Genomic DNA, 17,824 nt, shown 5'->3' on the forward strand with positions numbered 1-17,824 from the left:
CATTTATAATTTTATTGTAAAATATATATTCCATGTACCAACTGCCTTACCAAGTAATTTCAAGGAAATTAAAGAGGAAAGGTGCAATGAGGTGGAGAGGAATATGAGAAGATAATAAAAATAATAAGGGAGAAAATAAAAAAAGGAAGAAGATCCTCATGATCCAAATGTGACTTTAGCAATAGGAAAAATGAATCTTAAAATTTTGTTCAAATTCTCTATGCTCCTGGAAACTTATGCTGTACCAACTAGTGAGCATGCTCACTTCAGCAATGTCCTGCACCTCTATCTGAAGTGGCCAAGGGAAGGGGAGGAGCCATCAGAAAGGAAGATGGAATACAATTCCCACACAGAAACATCACAACTGTTGGGCCCCTTAGGGAGGTCAGGGTGGAAGCAGACTTTTAAGAGATGGATATGTTGAGTGCACCCCTGGGAGGATTTACAACCATCTGTATCCTTTGAGGGCAAGTATTCCTTGCTATTGCCTCATTTTCAGTCACCTACAAGACACTACCCACTTCCACTGAAACAATCAATATCAAGATGGCAAGACCTGTATTTATCATCGCAGATAGTAATGTTTTAAACTCTGAGCACTTAAAAAGAACCAATTTTAAAAGTAAAATCAATTGATCAAGTACTTTACATTTTCTAGACCTCAATAAAAACTAGCATGTGATTAAATGAATTATTATATTTTATTCCAGAGGGCCAAAAATTGCTAAGTACCTACTCCAGATATATTAAAAAAGCACATATAAATCAGAATTAAAATCTGTTTTGTACTTGTTTTATGTTATTTTGACATCATACTACTTTTTTATCTAATAAATCATGATTTACTTCTAGTAAGTTTTTAACATAATTCAAACATAGTAAGAGGTTATTTATATATGATCAGGCAATATTTAATCCGAATTAATTAGGACAACTTTCCAGTGCATTCAAAATTAAATTTGACTAATGCTCCTTATAAAAAAGGTCAAGGAGGCTGGGCACAGTGACTCGTGCCTGTAATCCCAATACTTTGGGAGGCCAAAGCTGGAGGATTGCTTGAGGCCAGGAGTTCAAGTTCAGCCTGGACAACAGAGTGAGACCCCATCTCAACAACAGCAACAAATATATATATCACGGAGAAACATTTTATTGTTAATTCATCATGCAATTGCACCATGAAGTTTTTGAAAGAAAATAACATATTAAGATGTTCTTAAAAATAGGACACCAGAATGGAAACACATCAGATAATTCATTTGCAAAGAAATATTCAATGTTGTTAGGACTCAGAAAACAATACCCCTAAGTATGGTGCTTTGACATACCAAGTGCTTGGAACTAAAACAGAACCAAAGCCTCTTACCTCTTTTTTCTCCTGCGAAGTATAGGAAGGGGCTTTCTCTGAACTTCCTTTTAGCTGCCTAAAGATAGATCCTCCAAAAACCACAATTGTCATGAGTGTCCTCCCCAGGAATCTCAACCAGAGAAGACTAATTGTATCACAAGAGAAGAGTTTGGAGGTCAGCGTCACAAACAACCAATCTTTGTCACAAACTATTACCTATTTATCTTCCCCCAAAATCGTTAACTTTCTCTATGTTGCTTACATGCCCCCCCCCACCTTCCCTATGAGGAGGGCACATAAGCTTTTAAATTTTATTAGGTTATGGGGTACTCACTTTTCCTTCCTTTGATGCCCTCAGGCACATAATACATTTGTATGCCTTTTCTTCTGTTAGTCTGTCCACTGTCAGTTTATTTAATAAACTTAATCATCAAACCTTTGGAGGGAAAGTTTTATCTCCTTACAATGTCAATGATTAAGTACCCAAAAACTTGAAAGTAAATATTTTTAGATTTTTATTTTTGTCAGACATTTTATGGAAGAAGTACAGTTGACCCCTTAAATAACTTGGGGGTTGAGGGCTGCTCTGTCCCCCTGCACAGTTGAAAACCTGCATACAATTTCTGACTCCCCAAAAACTTAACTACTAACAGCCTACTGTTAACTGGAAGCCTTACCAATAACATTAACAGTCAATTAACATATCTTTTGTATATGTGTTATATACTGTGGTCACACAATAAAGTAATCTAGAGAAAGGAAAGTGTCATTTTAAAAATCATAAGGAAGATAAAATATATTTACTATTAAATGGAAGGGGATCATCAGAAAGGCCTTTATCCTCATCGTTCCACTGAATAGGCTGAGAAGGAGGAAGAGGAAGCATTGGTCTTACTGTCTCAGGTTGTATATGGAGATATGGAGGTGGTGGAAAGGAAGGCAGGAGAGGCAGGCACATGGGGTGTAACTTTGATTAAAAAAAAAATCTGCCTAGAAGTGAGCTCACATAGTTTAAATCTGTGTTGTTCTAGAGTCACACTCCCAGCTTCCTAGAAGTAAATAAAATGATTCTGAGGGGGAAAAAAAGTGATACAATATGCAAACCATACCATCTTGACCCTCCTTCCCCAGAACCTTGTATAATCAATCTTTATTCACTCATCTTTAAAAATCTTTGCTTTGAAGAAGAGGATATTGGCAAAGGAGATAAATTATGATGTTATGTAAGTAATAATCTCTAAATTCTCCCACTTCATCTTTTTTTAAATTATTTCAGCAAAACTTAGAGAAACACATCAAGCACCAGAGACCTCTGGGATCTTCTCCACCTGGCTTTGTGGTGTTGGTCACGTAAGAAGGCTTCCCTGAGTTACCAAGCATTAGCATGTACAGGTCTTCGTGATGAGACTTTTCAGATAACTGAGTCCTGAGATAAGTATTTAGAATATCTGGGGTGTTCTGCTATGATTACATTAAAACAATTAGCACAAAAACCCTGAAGCATTCAGGAATGATTTATTCTGAATCTATTCTGAATTAGCAAATATTCCTTAGAGTTGGGAGATAACAATACATCGTCTTCATGTTAGCACCTTTGATGGACCCCTTTTAAACATGTATTCTGTACTTTTTTGACTTCCTAAATTCTTAAACTATGCTATAGATGGTAAGGAACTTAGAGGCACTGTGGATGGGAGAGGAGTTTTATACTAGCTGAGTAATTGTGGGAATATTAATATCTCAGAGTCTCAAGTTTCTATCTCTTTAAATATGTACTTCTTAGTGCTGTTGAGAGGCAAAAATGTAGTAACATATCTGAAATGGAAACAGTGCCAAGAACTAAATTCTCAATAAATGTTAGTTACCTGCATTTCTTCTCTACCCTCTAACCCAAACACTACATATGCTTACCATTTCCCCACCTACTGCAACCGTGAAACTGTACTGGCTAACTGTTGCTAAGGTTCTTGAGACACAGGGTGCCTTTTGCACCAACCTCCACTTTTCCCCCTTCTCCAGACAATCTTCTCATATCCCTGGCTTTCTAATGAATTGTTTCAGCATCCGATAGGAATGTCAATTACAGTTACTAATCTCTCCAACCCATTTGTACCAGATAAAGGACTTGGGCTGGAAAAAGCCAAACAAACAAACAAACATACAGAAATCCTGTCTCAAATTGGCTCAAGCAATTGGGAAATGTATGTTCTCACATTTTCATAAGTTCAGATGTAAAGGAGACTTCAGAAGTATTTGATGTGCCCAGGCTCATTCTCTTTCCCTTTTATGCCACATACAAAACTTGCTTTATCCCAAGGCTGTCTTACCTTAGTCATAGGAAGGTTATCAGAAGCAAATAGGGTTGCAGTCTTCCTTGTCACATCTGAAAGGAGAGAGAGATAAAATTTTCCCAGTTGTATTAGTCTGTTCTCATGGTGCTATAAAGAACTACCAGAGACTGGGAAATTTATAAAGGAAAAAGGTTTAATTGACTCACAGTTCTGCATGACTGGGGAAGCCTCAGGAGGCTTACAATCACAGCGAGTGATAAAGGGGAAACAAACAACCTTCCTCACAAGGTGACCGGAAGGAGAACGAACGCAGGAGGAACTACCAAACATTTATAAAACCATCAGGTCTCGTGAGAACTCCCTCGCTATCACGAGAATAGCATGGGAGAAACTGCCCCCATGATTCAATTACCTCCACCTGGTCTCTCCCTTGACACGTGGGGATGATGGAGATTACCATTCAAGATGAGAGTCTGGATAGGAGCACAGCAAAACCTTATTACCAATTATGAACTAAAAGTACCTCAGTTAACTATGATTGGGTTGTTAGGCCATGTGGACACCATTTACTAATGAAGGTCACCTAGGGAAATGCACTGATTGGCTTAAGTTTAGATTATTGAAAATATACAGCAACTGGAATTACAATGATTTGATTAAACTAATATCTATTCCTTGAACAATGAGATCTCAGTTTCCTCCCTCCTAAACTGTACCAAAATTATAGCAAGGGGAATTTTTTTAAGGTTTAAACTCACAAGGGTGGGAAACAATGAAGGAGCAAACACCAGTGTAACTGTAAAATCTGTAATAAAGATGAACAAGTGATAATACACCCAGGAGAGCCAAATCTCAGATCAAAACTGAGAATTTACCCAATTTATATAACAGAATTTTCAATAGGCACAAAAGCAGAAAATACAAAGCGGTCTACTTCTGGTCATAACTGCTGGATATCAGCACCTTGTTATAGTTTTTTTGCAGCTTTATTGATATGTAATTCATATATCATAACATTCACCTGATTAAAGTGAGCAATTCAAAGATACTTCTAGTATAGTCAGAGTTGTGCACCATCATCATAATCTAATTTTAAGACATTTTTATAATTGCAGGTCTTAACTTAAATGCCACCTCCTTACAGATGCTCTACCTGCCTATCCTTAATAGAACTACATTCTTTATTTCCCACTTCTTTCCTTTGGACACACATAACAATCAGTAGTTATTTCCCTTAGTTATTGGCCTCCTTGTTTGTTGTCTGCCTCTCCCACCACAATGTAAGCTCCTTAAAGCGGGGCTCTTTTTTTTTTATACTTTAAGTTTTAGGGTACATGTGCACAACGTGCAGGTTAGTTACATATGTATACATGTGCCATGTTGGTGTGTTGCACCCATTACCTCGTCATTTAACATTACATATATCTCCCAATGCTCTTTATGTCTCTCTTGATTTTCTTTGTAGTCCAGCTAGTAGTGAAGCACAGGGCCTGCCTATATTATGTGGTCACTAAAAACATTTGCTGAATGAACGAACTAGCAAGACGTAATTACCACAGTAGATGGGCACTGTGGAGCAATGGGGAATCGGTCATCATAGGGAAACAGTGACAGCAGGAGGGCACAGAGCAAATAAACCAGCTGTCTGTCTGGTGTTTGGAAGATGAACGAACCCTATGAGACTGAGAAAACCCCTTAGGTTCTTTAACAATTAAGGAGAGTTGGGAGTAAAGACCTCGAGAAGAAGATAGCACTGCTAATAAAATAGGTGGGTCTCTTGCAATGAATTAAAAAAATAAAAAGATATGCTCATATTTGCAGCTATACTGGCAAAGAAATTCATATTTCTCACATTAACGCATTAAAATACACAAAGTAAATGTTCCTTTATGCATCAATCCCATAGCCGGTGTTGTTAATTAAATTAATGGTGGTTATACAGGGTACTGCAGAGTTCTGGAGCTAGAAAGCCAGAATTTGTATCCTCATTCTGCCACTTATTAGCTATGTGACTTTGGACAAGTTACTTAGCTGCTTTGTGCTTTCATTTTTACATTTATAAAACAGATATATTAATAGTTCCTATATTGTAAGAGCTGTTTTCAGTATTATATGAAAATAATCAGAAAACTGTCTGTTACATACTGAGTGCCTTATATTACCTAATATTGTAGAAGTAGCAGTAGCCCTTATAGTGCTGGCAGTGGTGGAGGTGGTAGAAATAGTAGTAGGTAGTAGTGAAATGATAGAGGTGCACCCCATTATGACTGTTTTATGGGGCAAGAAATTCAGATTTAGCTCAGTGCCAAGCAGTGTCAAATACAGGGTACTAAATTAATATTGAATTGACTTGCACCCACGATGTTTCCTATCATACCACAAGATGATTTGACACAATTGATTTTTCTTCAAGAAGTAAGTGAATCAGCAGATTTGTAGTCGCTGCTGTTGGCAAACTGATATCAGGTAATTCGTGCTCAACTTTGGCCCACAGAAAGTGTCAGAAAGACAGCCATATTCTTGGGTGTATGTGTGTAAAATGATGTGCATTCGACTGTGACTCTGTTGCAAGAAGGACATAAGAATTTCATTCTTTTAGGAGATGAAGTGGGAAAATAATGGACAGTCCTGAAAAATAAGCCATGGTATTCATAAATCAGGAGAATCATTTTTAGAGGGGAAAGTGGCTGGTTTGGACTTATTAACAATATTTGCAATGTGTCCTCTTTATGGATGAATAACATAGAAGACCCTATTTAGCATAATTGTTCTCACTCTCTGCTTTTGGACTGAGGCAAGCCCTGTTTCTAGAACAGCTTTTGTTGCAGATCATGAGATAAAACCACTTTTCCATTACATGTGAAGAACCAGTGGATCCCACTGGATAAATCAATTGTGAAGTCAAATAATTATTTTGCATTAACAATGCATAACTATTTTTCAGTTGCCTCTACAGCATGCATTCCCTCCTTCTAATAACAACAGAAAAAATTAATAAGGACATTCACCCTATTATGGGTTGAATTGTGTCCACAAAAAGATATGCTGAAGTCCTAACCCCCAATATCTGCAAATATTGCTTTATTTGGAAATAGGGTCTTTGCAGATACAATTAAATAAGGTATAATCAAGTAATTAGGTAGGCCCTAATCCAATATGACTAGTATCATTATAAGGAGAGGGAAATTTGGGCTGGACGTGGTGGCTTACGTCTGTAATCCCAGCACCTTGCAAGCCCAAGGTGGATGGATCACGAGGTCAGGAGATCGAGACAATCCTGGCCAACATGGTGAAACCCCATCTCTACTAAAAATACAAAAATTCGCTGGGCATGATGGGTGGTGCCTGTAATCCCAGCTACTCCAGAGGCTGAGGCAGGAGAATCACTTGAACCAGGGAGTCCGAGGTTGCAGTGAGCCAAGATGGTGCCACTACACTCCAACCTAGTGACAGAGTGAGACTCCATCTCATAAAAAAGAAGATGGAAATTTGGACACAGACACATGAAGGAGAAAGCCATATGATGAGAGAGGCAGAGATTGGAGTTAGGCAGCTACAAGCCAAAAAATGTCAAGGATTGCTGGCGGCACCTGAATTTAAGACAAAGGCATGCATTCTCCCCTAGAGGTTTTAACACAGCGGGCTGACACCTCGATTTTCTACTTCTAGCCTCCAGAACTGTGAGAGAATAAATTTCCATTTTAAGCCACACAGTTTGCAGCACTTTGTTATAGCATCTTCAGCAAACTTCTACACACACCTCATTGATTATCAGACAAATCCTTTAGGTAGAATAAAACTCATCAGTAGCTCAAGATGCAGTCTTTGATCAGCACAGTCTATATCCCTGGCCATATGATTACTTTAGGGATAAACATGTGACTCAGTAAGAGCCAACAGGACTTCAGGATATATTTGGGCTTCTAGGAAAGAAAAGACTCTTTCTTCCTTTTCCTGAGTTGCTTTCAAAACTGTCTTTTCTTATTGGTTGTGAGAAAGAATATTTTAGCACTGGAAACTGCTGGCAGCCATCTTACAACTGGAGAACCTCCCATACACTTGTGTCCAAGGTAACAAAGTGGAAGTATTGAGAAAAAGGAACTTCTTAATCCCGAGAGGACCCACAGACCCTCTGAAGGAAGTGGACTGCTCCAGTAGGACCTGAGAGAAACCCCAGATATGGTGAGTGCCCCAACTGTGGAAGTGGGAAAGGGAGAGCCTCCTCTCCTGAACACACACTCGCATTGGAGAAAATGAAGGTATGTTTGCAGGAGAAGTTTCCAACTTTACCTGGAGCGGAGTCAATTTAGAGAGCTGAGTGAAATACAGGGGTAGAGGAAGCAGCAGAAAGACCCTGGAAGCTTGCTGGGTCTCCAGGCAGGCCATTCCTGCCTGGCACCACAGGTATCCATTGGGAGGGCAACCAGAGGAGCACGGGGGAGACACTGCAGGGAGAAGAAAATCTCTAGCTGCATTTTGTAACAATTTGAACAGGGTGAGAAGCCTCTTGGCCAGAACTCGGGGGAGGGTGCAAATCCAGTGTGCAGACTCCACAGGCAGGGGAAGAGCCAACCCCTTTTCTTTCGCAGCTGGGAGGCAGGTAGCCTGGGGCAAGTTGTCAAGCCCTGCTTGCCTACTGCCTGGAAACAGACTCGGGACTGTTGAGGGGGCACCGTGGGAGTGAGACTGGCCCTTTGGTTTGCGTGGGAGCTAGGTGAGGCCTGTGACTGCCGGCTTTTCCCTGCTTCCCTGAAAACCTGCATGACTCAGCAGAGGCAGCGGTAATCCTCCTAGGTACACAACTCCATTGACCTGGGAACCTCACCCCCAGCCCCTACAGCAGCCACAGCAAGACCTACCCAAGGAGAGTCTGAGCTCAGACACGCCTAGCCTTGCCCCTACCTGATCATCCTTCCCTACCCACCCTGGTAGCTGAAGACAAAGGGCATATAATCTTGGGAGTTCTAGGGCCCCACCTGCCACTGGTTCCTCTCCATACTACCATAGCTGATGCTCTCTAGAAAGCGTGACCTCCTGGCAGGAGGCCAACCAGCACAAAAATAGAGCATTAAATCACCAAAGCTAAGAACCTTCATTGAGTCCATCGTAGCCACCTGCTATCTCCACTGGCACAGATACTGGTATCTATGGCTGAGAGACCCATAGAGGGTTCACATCACAGGACTCTGCACAGACAACCCTCAGTACTAGCCCAGAGCTGGGTAGATTTGCTGGGAGGCTAGACCCAGAAGAGAGACAACAATCACTGCAGTTCAACTCACAGGAAGCCACATCCATTAAAAAAAAAAAAAAGGTGGGGTGGGGAGAGTACTACATCAAGGGAACACCCCATGGGACAAAATAATCTGAACAACAGCCTTCATCCATAGAACTTCCCTCTGACACAGCCTACCCAAATGAGAAGGAACCAGAAAACCAACTCTGGTAATATGACAAAACAAGGCCCTTTAAAACCCTGAAAAATCATACTATTTCACCAGCAATGGATCCAAACCAAGAAGAAATCCCTGATTTACCTGAAAAAGAATTCAGGAGGTTAGTTTTTAAGCTAATCAGGAGGCACCAGAGGAAGGCAAGGCCCAATGCAAGGAAATCCATAATATGATACAAGAAGTGAAAGGAGAAATATTGAAGGAAACAGATAGCTTCAAGAAAACGCAATCAAAAATTTGGGAAACATTGGATACAGTTATAGCATTACAAAATCCTCTGGAAAGTCTCAGCAATTAAATTAAACAAGTAGAAGAAGGAAATTCAGAGCTCAAAGGCAAGGTCTTCAAATTAACCCAATCCAACAGAGACAAAGAATAGGAAAATATGATCAAAGCCTCCCGAGAGTCTGGGATTGTGTTAAATGACCAAACCTAAGAATAATTAGTGTTCCTGAGGAAGCAGAGAATTCTAAAAGCTTGGAAAACATATTTGGGGGAATAATCGAGGAAAACTTCCCTGGCCTTGCTAGAGATCTAGACATTCAAATACATGAAACACAAAGAACACCTGGGAAATTGATCACAAAAAGATAATCACCTAGGGACATTGTCATCAGGTTATCCAAAGTTAAGATGATGAAAAGAATCTTAAGAGCTGTGAGATAAAAGCACAAGGTAACCTATAAAGGAAAATCTATCAGATTAACAGCAGATTTCTCAGCAGAAACCCTAAAAGCCAGAAGGAAATGGGGCCCTATCTTCAACCTCCTCAAACAAAATAATTATCAGCCAAGAATTTTGTATCCGGTGAAACTAAGCATCATATATGAAGGAAAGATGCAGTCTTTTTCAGATGAACAAATGCTGAGAGAATTTGCCACTACTAAGCCACCACTTCAAGAACTGCTAAAAGGAGCTATAAATCTTGAAACAAATCCTAAAAACACATCAAAACAGAACCTCTTTAAAGCATAAATCACACAAGACCTATGAAACAAAAATACAAGATAAAAAGCAAAAGTACACAGGCAACAAATAGCATGATGAATGCAATGGTATCTCACATCTCAATATTAACATTGAATGTAAATGGCCTAAATGCTCCAGTTAAAAGAAGGGATAAGATCTCACCAATAAACCATCTTCTCCCTTCAGGAGACTCACCTAACACATTAGGACTCACATAAACTTAAAGTAAAGGGGTGGAAAAAGCCATTTCATACAAATAGACACCAAAACAAGCAGGGGTAGCTATTCTCATATCAGACAAAACAAACTTTAAAGCAACAGCAGTTAAAAGAGACAAAGAGGGACCTTATATAAAAATAAAAGGCCCTGTTCAACAGGAAAATATCACAATCTTAAACACATATGCACCTAACACTGGAGCTCCAAAATTTATAAACCAATTACTAATAGACATAAGAAATAAGAAAGACAGCAACAAAATAATAGTGGGGGACTTCAATACTCCACTGACAGCACTAGACAAGTCATCAAGACAGAAAGTCAGCAAAGAAACTATAGATTTAAACTATACCTTGGAACAAGTGAACTTAACAGATATATATAGAAGATTTCATCTAACAACCATAGACTACACATTCTACTCAACAGTGCATAGAACTTTCTCCAAGATAGACCATAAGATAGGCCATAAAATCAGCCTCAATAAGTTTAAGAAAATTGAAATTATATTATGCACTCTCTCAGGTCACAGTGGAATAAAACTGGAAATCAACTCTGAAAGGAACCTTCAAAACCATGCAAATACATGGAAGCTAAATAACCTGCTCCTGAATGAGCATTGGGTCAAAAACGAAATCAAGATGGAAATTAAAAACTTCTTCGAACTGAAAGACAATAATGACACACCTTACCAAAACCTCTGGGATACAGCAAAGGCGATGCTAAGAGGAAAGTTCATAGCCCTAAATATCTACATGAAAAAGACTGAAAGAGCACCAACTGACATTCTGAGGTCACAGCTCAAGGAACTAGAGAAACAAGAACAAACCAAACCCAAACCCAGCAGAAGAAAGGAAATAACCAAGATCAGAGCAGAACTAAATGAAATTTAAACAAAATAAAATACAAAAGATAAATGAAACAAAAATCTGGTTCTTTGAAGAGATAAAATTAATAGACCATTAGCAAGATTAACAAGAAAAGAGAGAAAATCAAAATAACCTCATTAAGAAACGAAACAGGATAAATTACAACTGATACCAATGAAATACAAGAGATCATTCAAGGCTACTATGAACACCTTTCCACGCATAAACTAGAAAACCTAGAAGAGATGGATAAATTCCTGGAAAAATAAACCCTTCTAGCTTAAATCAGGAAGAATTAGATACCCTGAATCGACCAAGAACAAGCAGTGAGATGGAAATGGAAATTTAAAAATTATCAGCAAGAAAGCATCCAGGAACAGACGGGTCCACAGCAGAATTCTACCAGACATTCAAAGAAGAATTGGTACCAATCCTTTTGACACTATTCCACAAGATATGGAAAGAAGGAACCCTCCCTAATTCGTTCTATGAAACCAGCATCAGCCTAATACCAAAACCAGGAAAGGACATAATCAAAAAAGAAAACTACATACTGATATCCTTGATGAACATATATACTAAAATCCTTAACAAAATATTAGCTAACTGAACCCAGCAACATATCAAAAAGGTAATCCACCATGATCAAGTGGGTTTCATACCAGGGATGCAGGGATGGCTTAACATATGCAAGTGAATAAATGTGATACACCACATAAAAAGAATAAAAAACAAAAATCATGTGATCATTGTATTAGTCTGTTTTCATGCTGCTGATAAAGGCATACCTGAGATTGGGAAGAAACAGAGGTTTAATTGGACTTACACTTCCACATGGCTGCGGAGGTCTCAGAATCAGGCTGGGAGGGGAAAGGCACTTCTTAAATGGCAGCAGCAAGAGAAAATGAGGAAGAAGCAAAAGTGGAAACACCTGATAAACCCAGCAGATCTCATGAGACTTATTCACTGTCACGAGATAGCACAGGAAAGACCAGTCCCCTTGATTCAATTACCTTCCCCTGGGTCTCTCCCACAACACATAGGAATTCTGAGAGATACAATTCAAGTTGAGATTCGGGTGGGGACAGAGTCAAACCCTATCATTCGATCCCTGGCCCCTCCAAATCTCATGTCCTTCCATTTTAAAACCAATCATGCCTTCCCAACAGTCCCATAAAGTCTTAATTCATTTCAACACTAACCCAAAAGTCCACAGCCCAAAATCTCATCTGAGATGAGGCAAGTCCCTTGCGCCTATGAGCCTGTAAAATCAAAAACAAGCTAGGTACTTCCTAGATACAATGGGGGTACAGGTATTGGGTAAATACAGCCATTCCAAATGGGAGATATTGGCCAAAACAAAGGGGTTACAGAGCCCATGCAAGTCCAAAATCCAACAGGACAGTGAGATTTTAAAGCTCCAAAATGATCTCCTTTGACTCCAGGTTTCATATCCAGGTTATATTGATGCAAGGGGTGGGTTCCCATGGTCTTGGGTAGCTCTGCCCCTGTGGCTTTGCAAGGAACAGCCTCCCTCCCGGCTGCTTTAAAGGGCTGGCATTGAATGTCTGTGGTTTTTCCAGGCCAACAGTGCAAGCTGTCAGTGGATCTACCATTCTGGGGTCTGGAGGATGGTGGCCCTCTTCTCACAGCTCCACTAGGCAGTGCCCCAGCAGGGACTCCATTTGGGGGTTCTTACCCCACATTTCCCTTCTTCACTGCCCTAGCAGAGGTTCTCCATGAGGGCCCCTCCCCTGCAGCATACTTTTGTCTGGGCATCCGGGCATTTCCATACATCTGAAATCTTGGCAGAGGTTCCCAAACCTCAATTCTTGACTTCTGGACACCCTCAGGCTCAACACCATGTGGAAGCTTCCAAGGCTTGGGGCTTGCACCCTCTGAAGCCACAGCCTGAGCTTTACATTGGCCCCTTTCAGCCATGGCTGGAGTGGCTGGGACACAGGACACCAAGTCCCTAGGCTGCACATAGCATGGGTACCTTGGGCCTGGCCCACAAAACCACTTTTTCCTCCTGGGCCTCTGGGCCTGTGATGGGAAGGGCTGCCATGAAGGTCTCTGACATGGCCTAGAGACATTTTCACCATGGTCTTGGGAATTAACATTAGCTTCCTTGCTGCTTAGGAAAATTTCTGCAGCCGATTTGAATTTCTCCCCAGAAAATGGGTTTTTCTTTTCTATTGCATAGTCAGGCTGCAAATTTTCCTACTTTTATGCTCTTTCCCTTATAAAACTGAATGCTTTTAACAGTACCCTCCCAAGTCACCTCTTGAATGATTTGCTGCTTAGAAATTTCTTCCACCAGATACCCTAAATCATCTTTCTTAAGTTCAAAGTTCCACACATCTCTAGGTCACGGGCAAAATGCTGCCAGTCTCTTTGCTAAAACATAACAAGAGTTACCTTTACTCCAGTTCCCAACAAGTTCCTCATCTCCATCTGAGACCACCTCAGCCTGGACCTAATTGTCCATATTGCTATCAGCATTTTAGGCAAAGCCATTCAACAAGTCTCCAGGAAGTTCCAAACTTTCTCACATTTTCTTGTCTTCTTCTGAGCCCTCCAAACAGTTCCAGCCTCTGCCTGTTACCCAGTTCCAAAGTTGCTTCCACATTTTTGGGTATCTTTTCAGCAACACCCCACTTCTGAAACCAATTTACTGTATTTGTCTGTTTTCAAACTGCTAATAAAGACATACCTGAGACTGGAAAGAAAAAGAGGTTTAATTGGACTTATAGTTCCACATGGCTGGGGAGGCCTCAGAATCATGGCACTTGATTTCATGGAAGTGAAAGGCACTTCTTACATGGCAGTGGCAACAGAAAATGAGGAAGAAGCAAAAGTGGAAACCCCTGATAAACCCATCATATCTCTTGAGACTTATTCACTATCATGAGAATAGCACAGGAAAGACCAGGCCCATGATTCAATTACCTCCCCCTGGGTCCCTCCCACAACAGGTGGGAATTCTGGGAGATACAATTCAAGTTGAGATGTGGGTAGGGACATAACCAAACCATATTAATCATATCAATAGATGCAGAAAAAGCATTCAACAAATTCCAGCATCACTTTATCATTAAAACTCTCAGCAAAATCAGCATACAAGGGACATACCTCAATGCAATAAAAGCCATCTATGAAAAACCCACAGCCAACATAATACTGAATGGGGAAAAGTTGAAAGCATTCCCTCTGCTAACTGGAACAAGACAAGGATGCCTACTCTTACCACTCCTCTTCAACATAGTACTGGAAGTCCTGGCCAGAACAATCAGACAAGAGAAAGAAATAAAGGGCATCCAAATCAGTAAAAAGGAAGTCAAGCTGTCACTGATTGCTGATGACATGATCATTTACCTTGAAAACCCTAAAGACTCCTCCAGAAAGCTCCTAGAACTGATAAAATAATTCAGCAAAGTTTCCGGATACGAGATTAATGTACACAAATCAGTCATTCTTCAATACACCAACAGTGACCAGGCAGAAATTCAAATCAAGAACTCAACCCCTTTCACAATAAGTGCAAAAAATAAAATAAAATACTTAGAAATAAACCTAACCAAGGAGTCAAAAGACCTCTACAAGGAAAACTACAAAACACTGCTGCAAGAAATCATAGATGACACAAACAAATGGAACACAAATGGAAAACCAAAGATCGTTATGTTCTCACTGATATGTGGGAGCTAAGCTATGAGGACCAAAGGCATAAGAATTATACAATGGACTGTGGGGACTTGGGAGGAAGAGTGGGGGAGGTGTGAGGGATAAAAGACTACAAATATGGTGCAGTGTATACTGCTTAGGTGATAGGTGCACCAAAATCTCACAAATCACCACTAAAGAATTTATCGTGTAACCAAATACCACCTGTATCCCAATAACTTATGGAAAAAATGAAATTAAATTAAAATTAAAATACCCTAAAAAAAAAAAAGAAACTTCTACTTGGATCAAATCATTTGTAAACTTTACCTGGAAGTTTCATTTCCATAAACCAATATATTCCTTTTATTATTTAAGCCAGTTATTTATTCATCCTATTTATCATTTATTATTATATTTTTATTACATATTATAGATATTATTGAAGGCTTTTCTGTTACTAGTACAGGAGCAATGATTTGAATCTTTAATCTCACTGGCCTCTGAAACACATCAGCTTAGTTCTAACCTATATTGGCAAAGACGTCCTTAGCGTTCCATTCAGCTTCACTAAAATTTAGACAGGCTTCTTCCCCTGACCTCCCTTTTCTTCTTAGAGCATTTGCTTTAGAAAACTTTCAGTTATAAATTTTTTCTCTTCCCCTTTGAGAAGTTAAGTCTTTTAAAACGTCGCTTTTACAACCCAGGAAGGACCTGGAGGCTCAAGGACCTGGACCTGCCTGTAAAATGTAACTTTTAAAGGTGATAGTGCTCCTCTCTCCTAGGCTGCATAAAGGCTAGGAGCCCAACTTCAGTAATGGACAATTAGCAAGCACAGTTGCCCTCATCACATGAGCCAGTCTCCCCACCAGTGTCCTTTAGTACTTTCCACCAGCTCACCCCAGTGCTTAAAGAACCCTCCTCCCTTTTGTTCCAGGGGAGTTGAGTTCAGTCTTCCTTATTGCTAGGGCCTTGAATAAAGTCTTCTTTGCCTGTTTAACTCCATAAAGTGCGATTTTTCTTTGATAATGTCTTAGGATCTCCTCCTCTCAACATTCTGCTTTAGAAAACCAGACATTACAGAAAATATTCAAGACTTTCATAATAAAACATGTTTAGTTAGTATACCTTTAGTCTGACATTTCCCTGAGAAGCACACAATCTCAGCTTGTTTCAGTGAGGTGAGTGGCTTCAGTCATTCACCCGGAGAAGGGGCCAGTGTTCCCAGAATAAGTAATGCCAGCAGCACTTTCCCACTGCACCTTGTTTGGTTGGGTTTTTTCCGGTTCATTCCATGCTCTAAATTTCCTTCTCTTGGCTTTGTCCCATGCCTTTTCCTTTTAGCCCCAAAGCATTTTCTCTCTCCCAGAGCCGGGTTTTCCATCCAAGCCAGACCACCTGAAGGTTTTTCCTTGTTTATAGAAAGATAATCAGCTACATCCTCTTACACTAAGGGAGCAGACTGCTTCAAACAGAAAATGTCTTTGAAATGGCTTGCTAAAGCAGCCCAGTTTCATTGTTAGGAAAGCATGCCAGGAAGCCAAACACTTTGGTCTATTTCATTCTGAAGTATTTCCCTTGAGTGGACACAAGGCTCTAGGTAAAATTCTCAGCTGAAAACCCTTTTTTAATTTGGCTTTATTTTGTTTTACAATACTAACATGTAACCAAATAAAAATTAGAAATCAGTCTTTCAATTCAAGTTTTGCCCACAGTGACACTGGTGATCACTATCACTGAGCAAGAATCTTGAGAAGAGATAATATAATTAACCTTTAACTTTCTTGTTTCCCCAGACCACATCCTTCCACCTGGTTATCTGTGTGTTTCTATTTTGACTTCCCATAATTATTCCAAGCTCCCATCCAGAGTTCAGAAGAACTTCCTTGAAAAAATCATCAGAAAAAATAATATAAGACAGATTCTCCTCCTCAGATCTAAGAAAACTCATTCTGAGATTGTGGATCGAATCAGATGCTTACTCTACTTCTCTCCTTGGGGGAATACTGCAGCAGATCAGCAACAGTGGCTTCCAGTGTCTCTCTTCTCTTTGTCTGCATATTGGAAGAGCTCAGTACCCCATGAGCTCTAACGAGTGAGCCACTAATGGGCTTTCTGAATGATGGCTACATGATCAGACTGTTGTTCAGAATAGTTTGGGCTGTACTGTGGAAAGGGCTAGGAAGGGACAGGAATAAACTAGGAAAATCAGTTAGTGGGGTTATGTTCAGCTCAAACACGGGATGAAGGTTGCAGTAATGGCAATGGTGGTACATGAGTAGATTTTAGAAATCTTCAGTCAGAAAAAATTACTAGAATTTGATGATTAATTGGAAGTAAATGGGAGGGTGTTAGGGAGTTGGAGATTTGAAGAATGGCACCCAGGTTTCTTGCTGGAGCAACAGAGTAGAAAATAACAGCTGACATTCACTGATATGTTGGATTTGTCTAGCATTGTTTTCACTAATACAACAAAATCTTGGGGTGGGTATGACTGTGAGAATTTAAAAGTGTCCATTGTTTTCAATGTGAACGAACTAAACCCAAGTAAAGGCTGGTAAGAATACAGCTACTAGAGAAGGATGGGTCATGCAAGATAAAGGAACAGGAGACAAGCAATAGGCCAGGCCCATGGTAGTCTGCTGGTTTCAGGGCACAAGTAGAGGAAGATCCTACCTAGGAAACAGGATACCTCATCCCTTATTTAAAAGGGGAAGGAGGATTGAAGGGGGAAGTTGTAGGAAGATTTCCATATTTGGTGGTGAATATTTTGGCCTAATGGTTTCTATTGCTTCTATCAAGAGGAAAGGCTATAGTCCCATTTCATCCCAAATGCCCCCTTGATTTTCCACATCAGTGGTTCTCAAACTTTTTTTGATATTGATGATCCCAAATAGCTTTTATTTATTTATGTGAGTTATATCTATCTGTATTTACCACATAAAAGATTAAAACTGAGACATTGAAAAACATTACTTTATTTAAAATAACAATAGTAAACCTGCTATGTGT

At 39.9% G+C, this 17,824-nt stretch overlaps 1 long non-coding RNA gene across 1 annotated transcript in view, besides 1 other annotated feature; it reads right to left on the reverse strand.

The window, feature by feature from the left end:
- LINC02208 (long intergenic non-protein coding RNA 2208) overlaps window positions 1-17,824 on the reverse strand; it is a 211,152-nt gene that overhangs the window by 119,734 nt on the left and 73,594 nt on the right. The window contains exons 5-7 of the long non-coding RNA NR_104610.1: window positions 3,673-3,728; window positions 2,150-2,207; window positions 1,364-1,490 (exon numbers count right to left, since the gene is read on the reverse strand). This is a non-coding gene — a long non-coding RNA (long intergenic non-protein coding RNA 2208). The remainder of the gene's footprint in view (window positions 1-1,363; window positions 1,491-2,149; window positions 2,208-3,672; window positions 3,729-17,824) is intronic.
- Window positions 7,633-8,832: an enhancer, noted in NCBI's record as "MED14-independent group 3 enhancer chr5:117814027-117815226 (GRCh37/hg19 assembly coordinates)". NCBI's record gives its function as "activates an origin of replication core promoter dependent on BRD2, BRD4, P300/CBP and CDK7 cofactors, and independent of MED14, by STARR-seq in HCT116 cells {active_cell/tissue: HCT116}" and the evidence as "EXISTENCE:reporter gene assay evidence [ECO:0000049][PMID:35650434]".

The sequence above is a fragment of the Homo sapiens genome, chromosome 5 (genome assembly GCF_000001405.40).
Source record: "Homo sapiens chromosome 5, GRCh38.p14 Primary Assembly".
NCBI classification, from domain to species: Eukaryota; Metazoa; Chordata; class Mammalia; order Primates; family Hominidae; genus Homo; species Homo sapiens.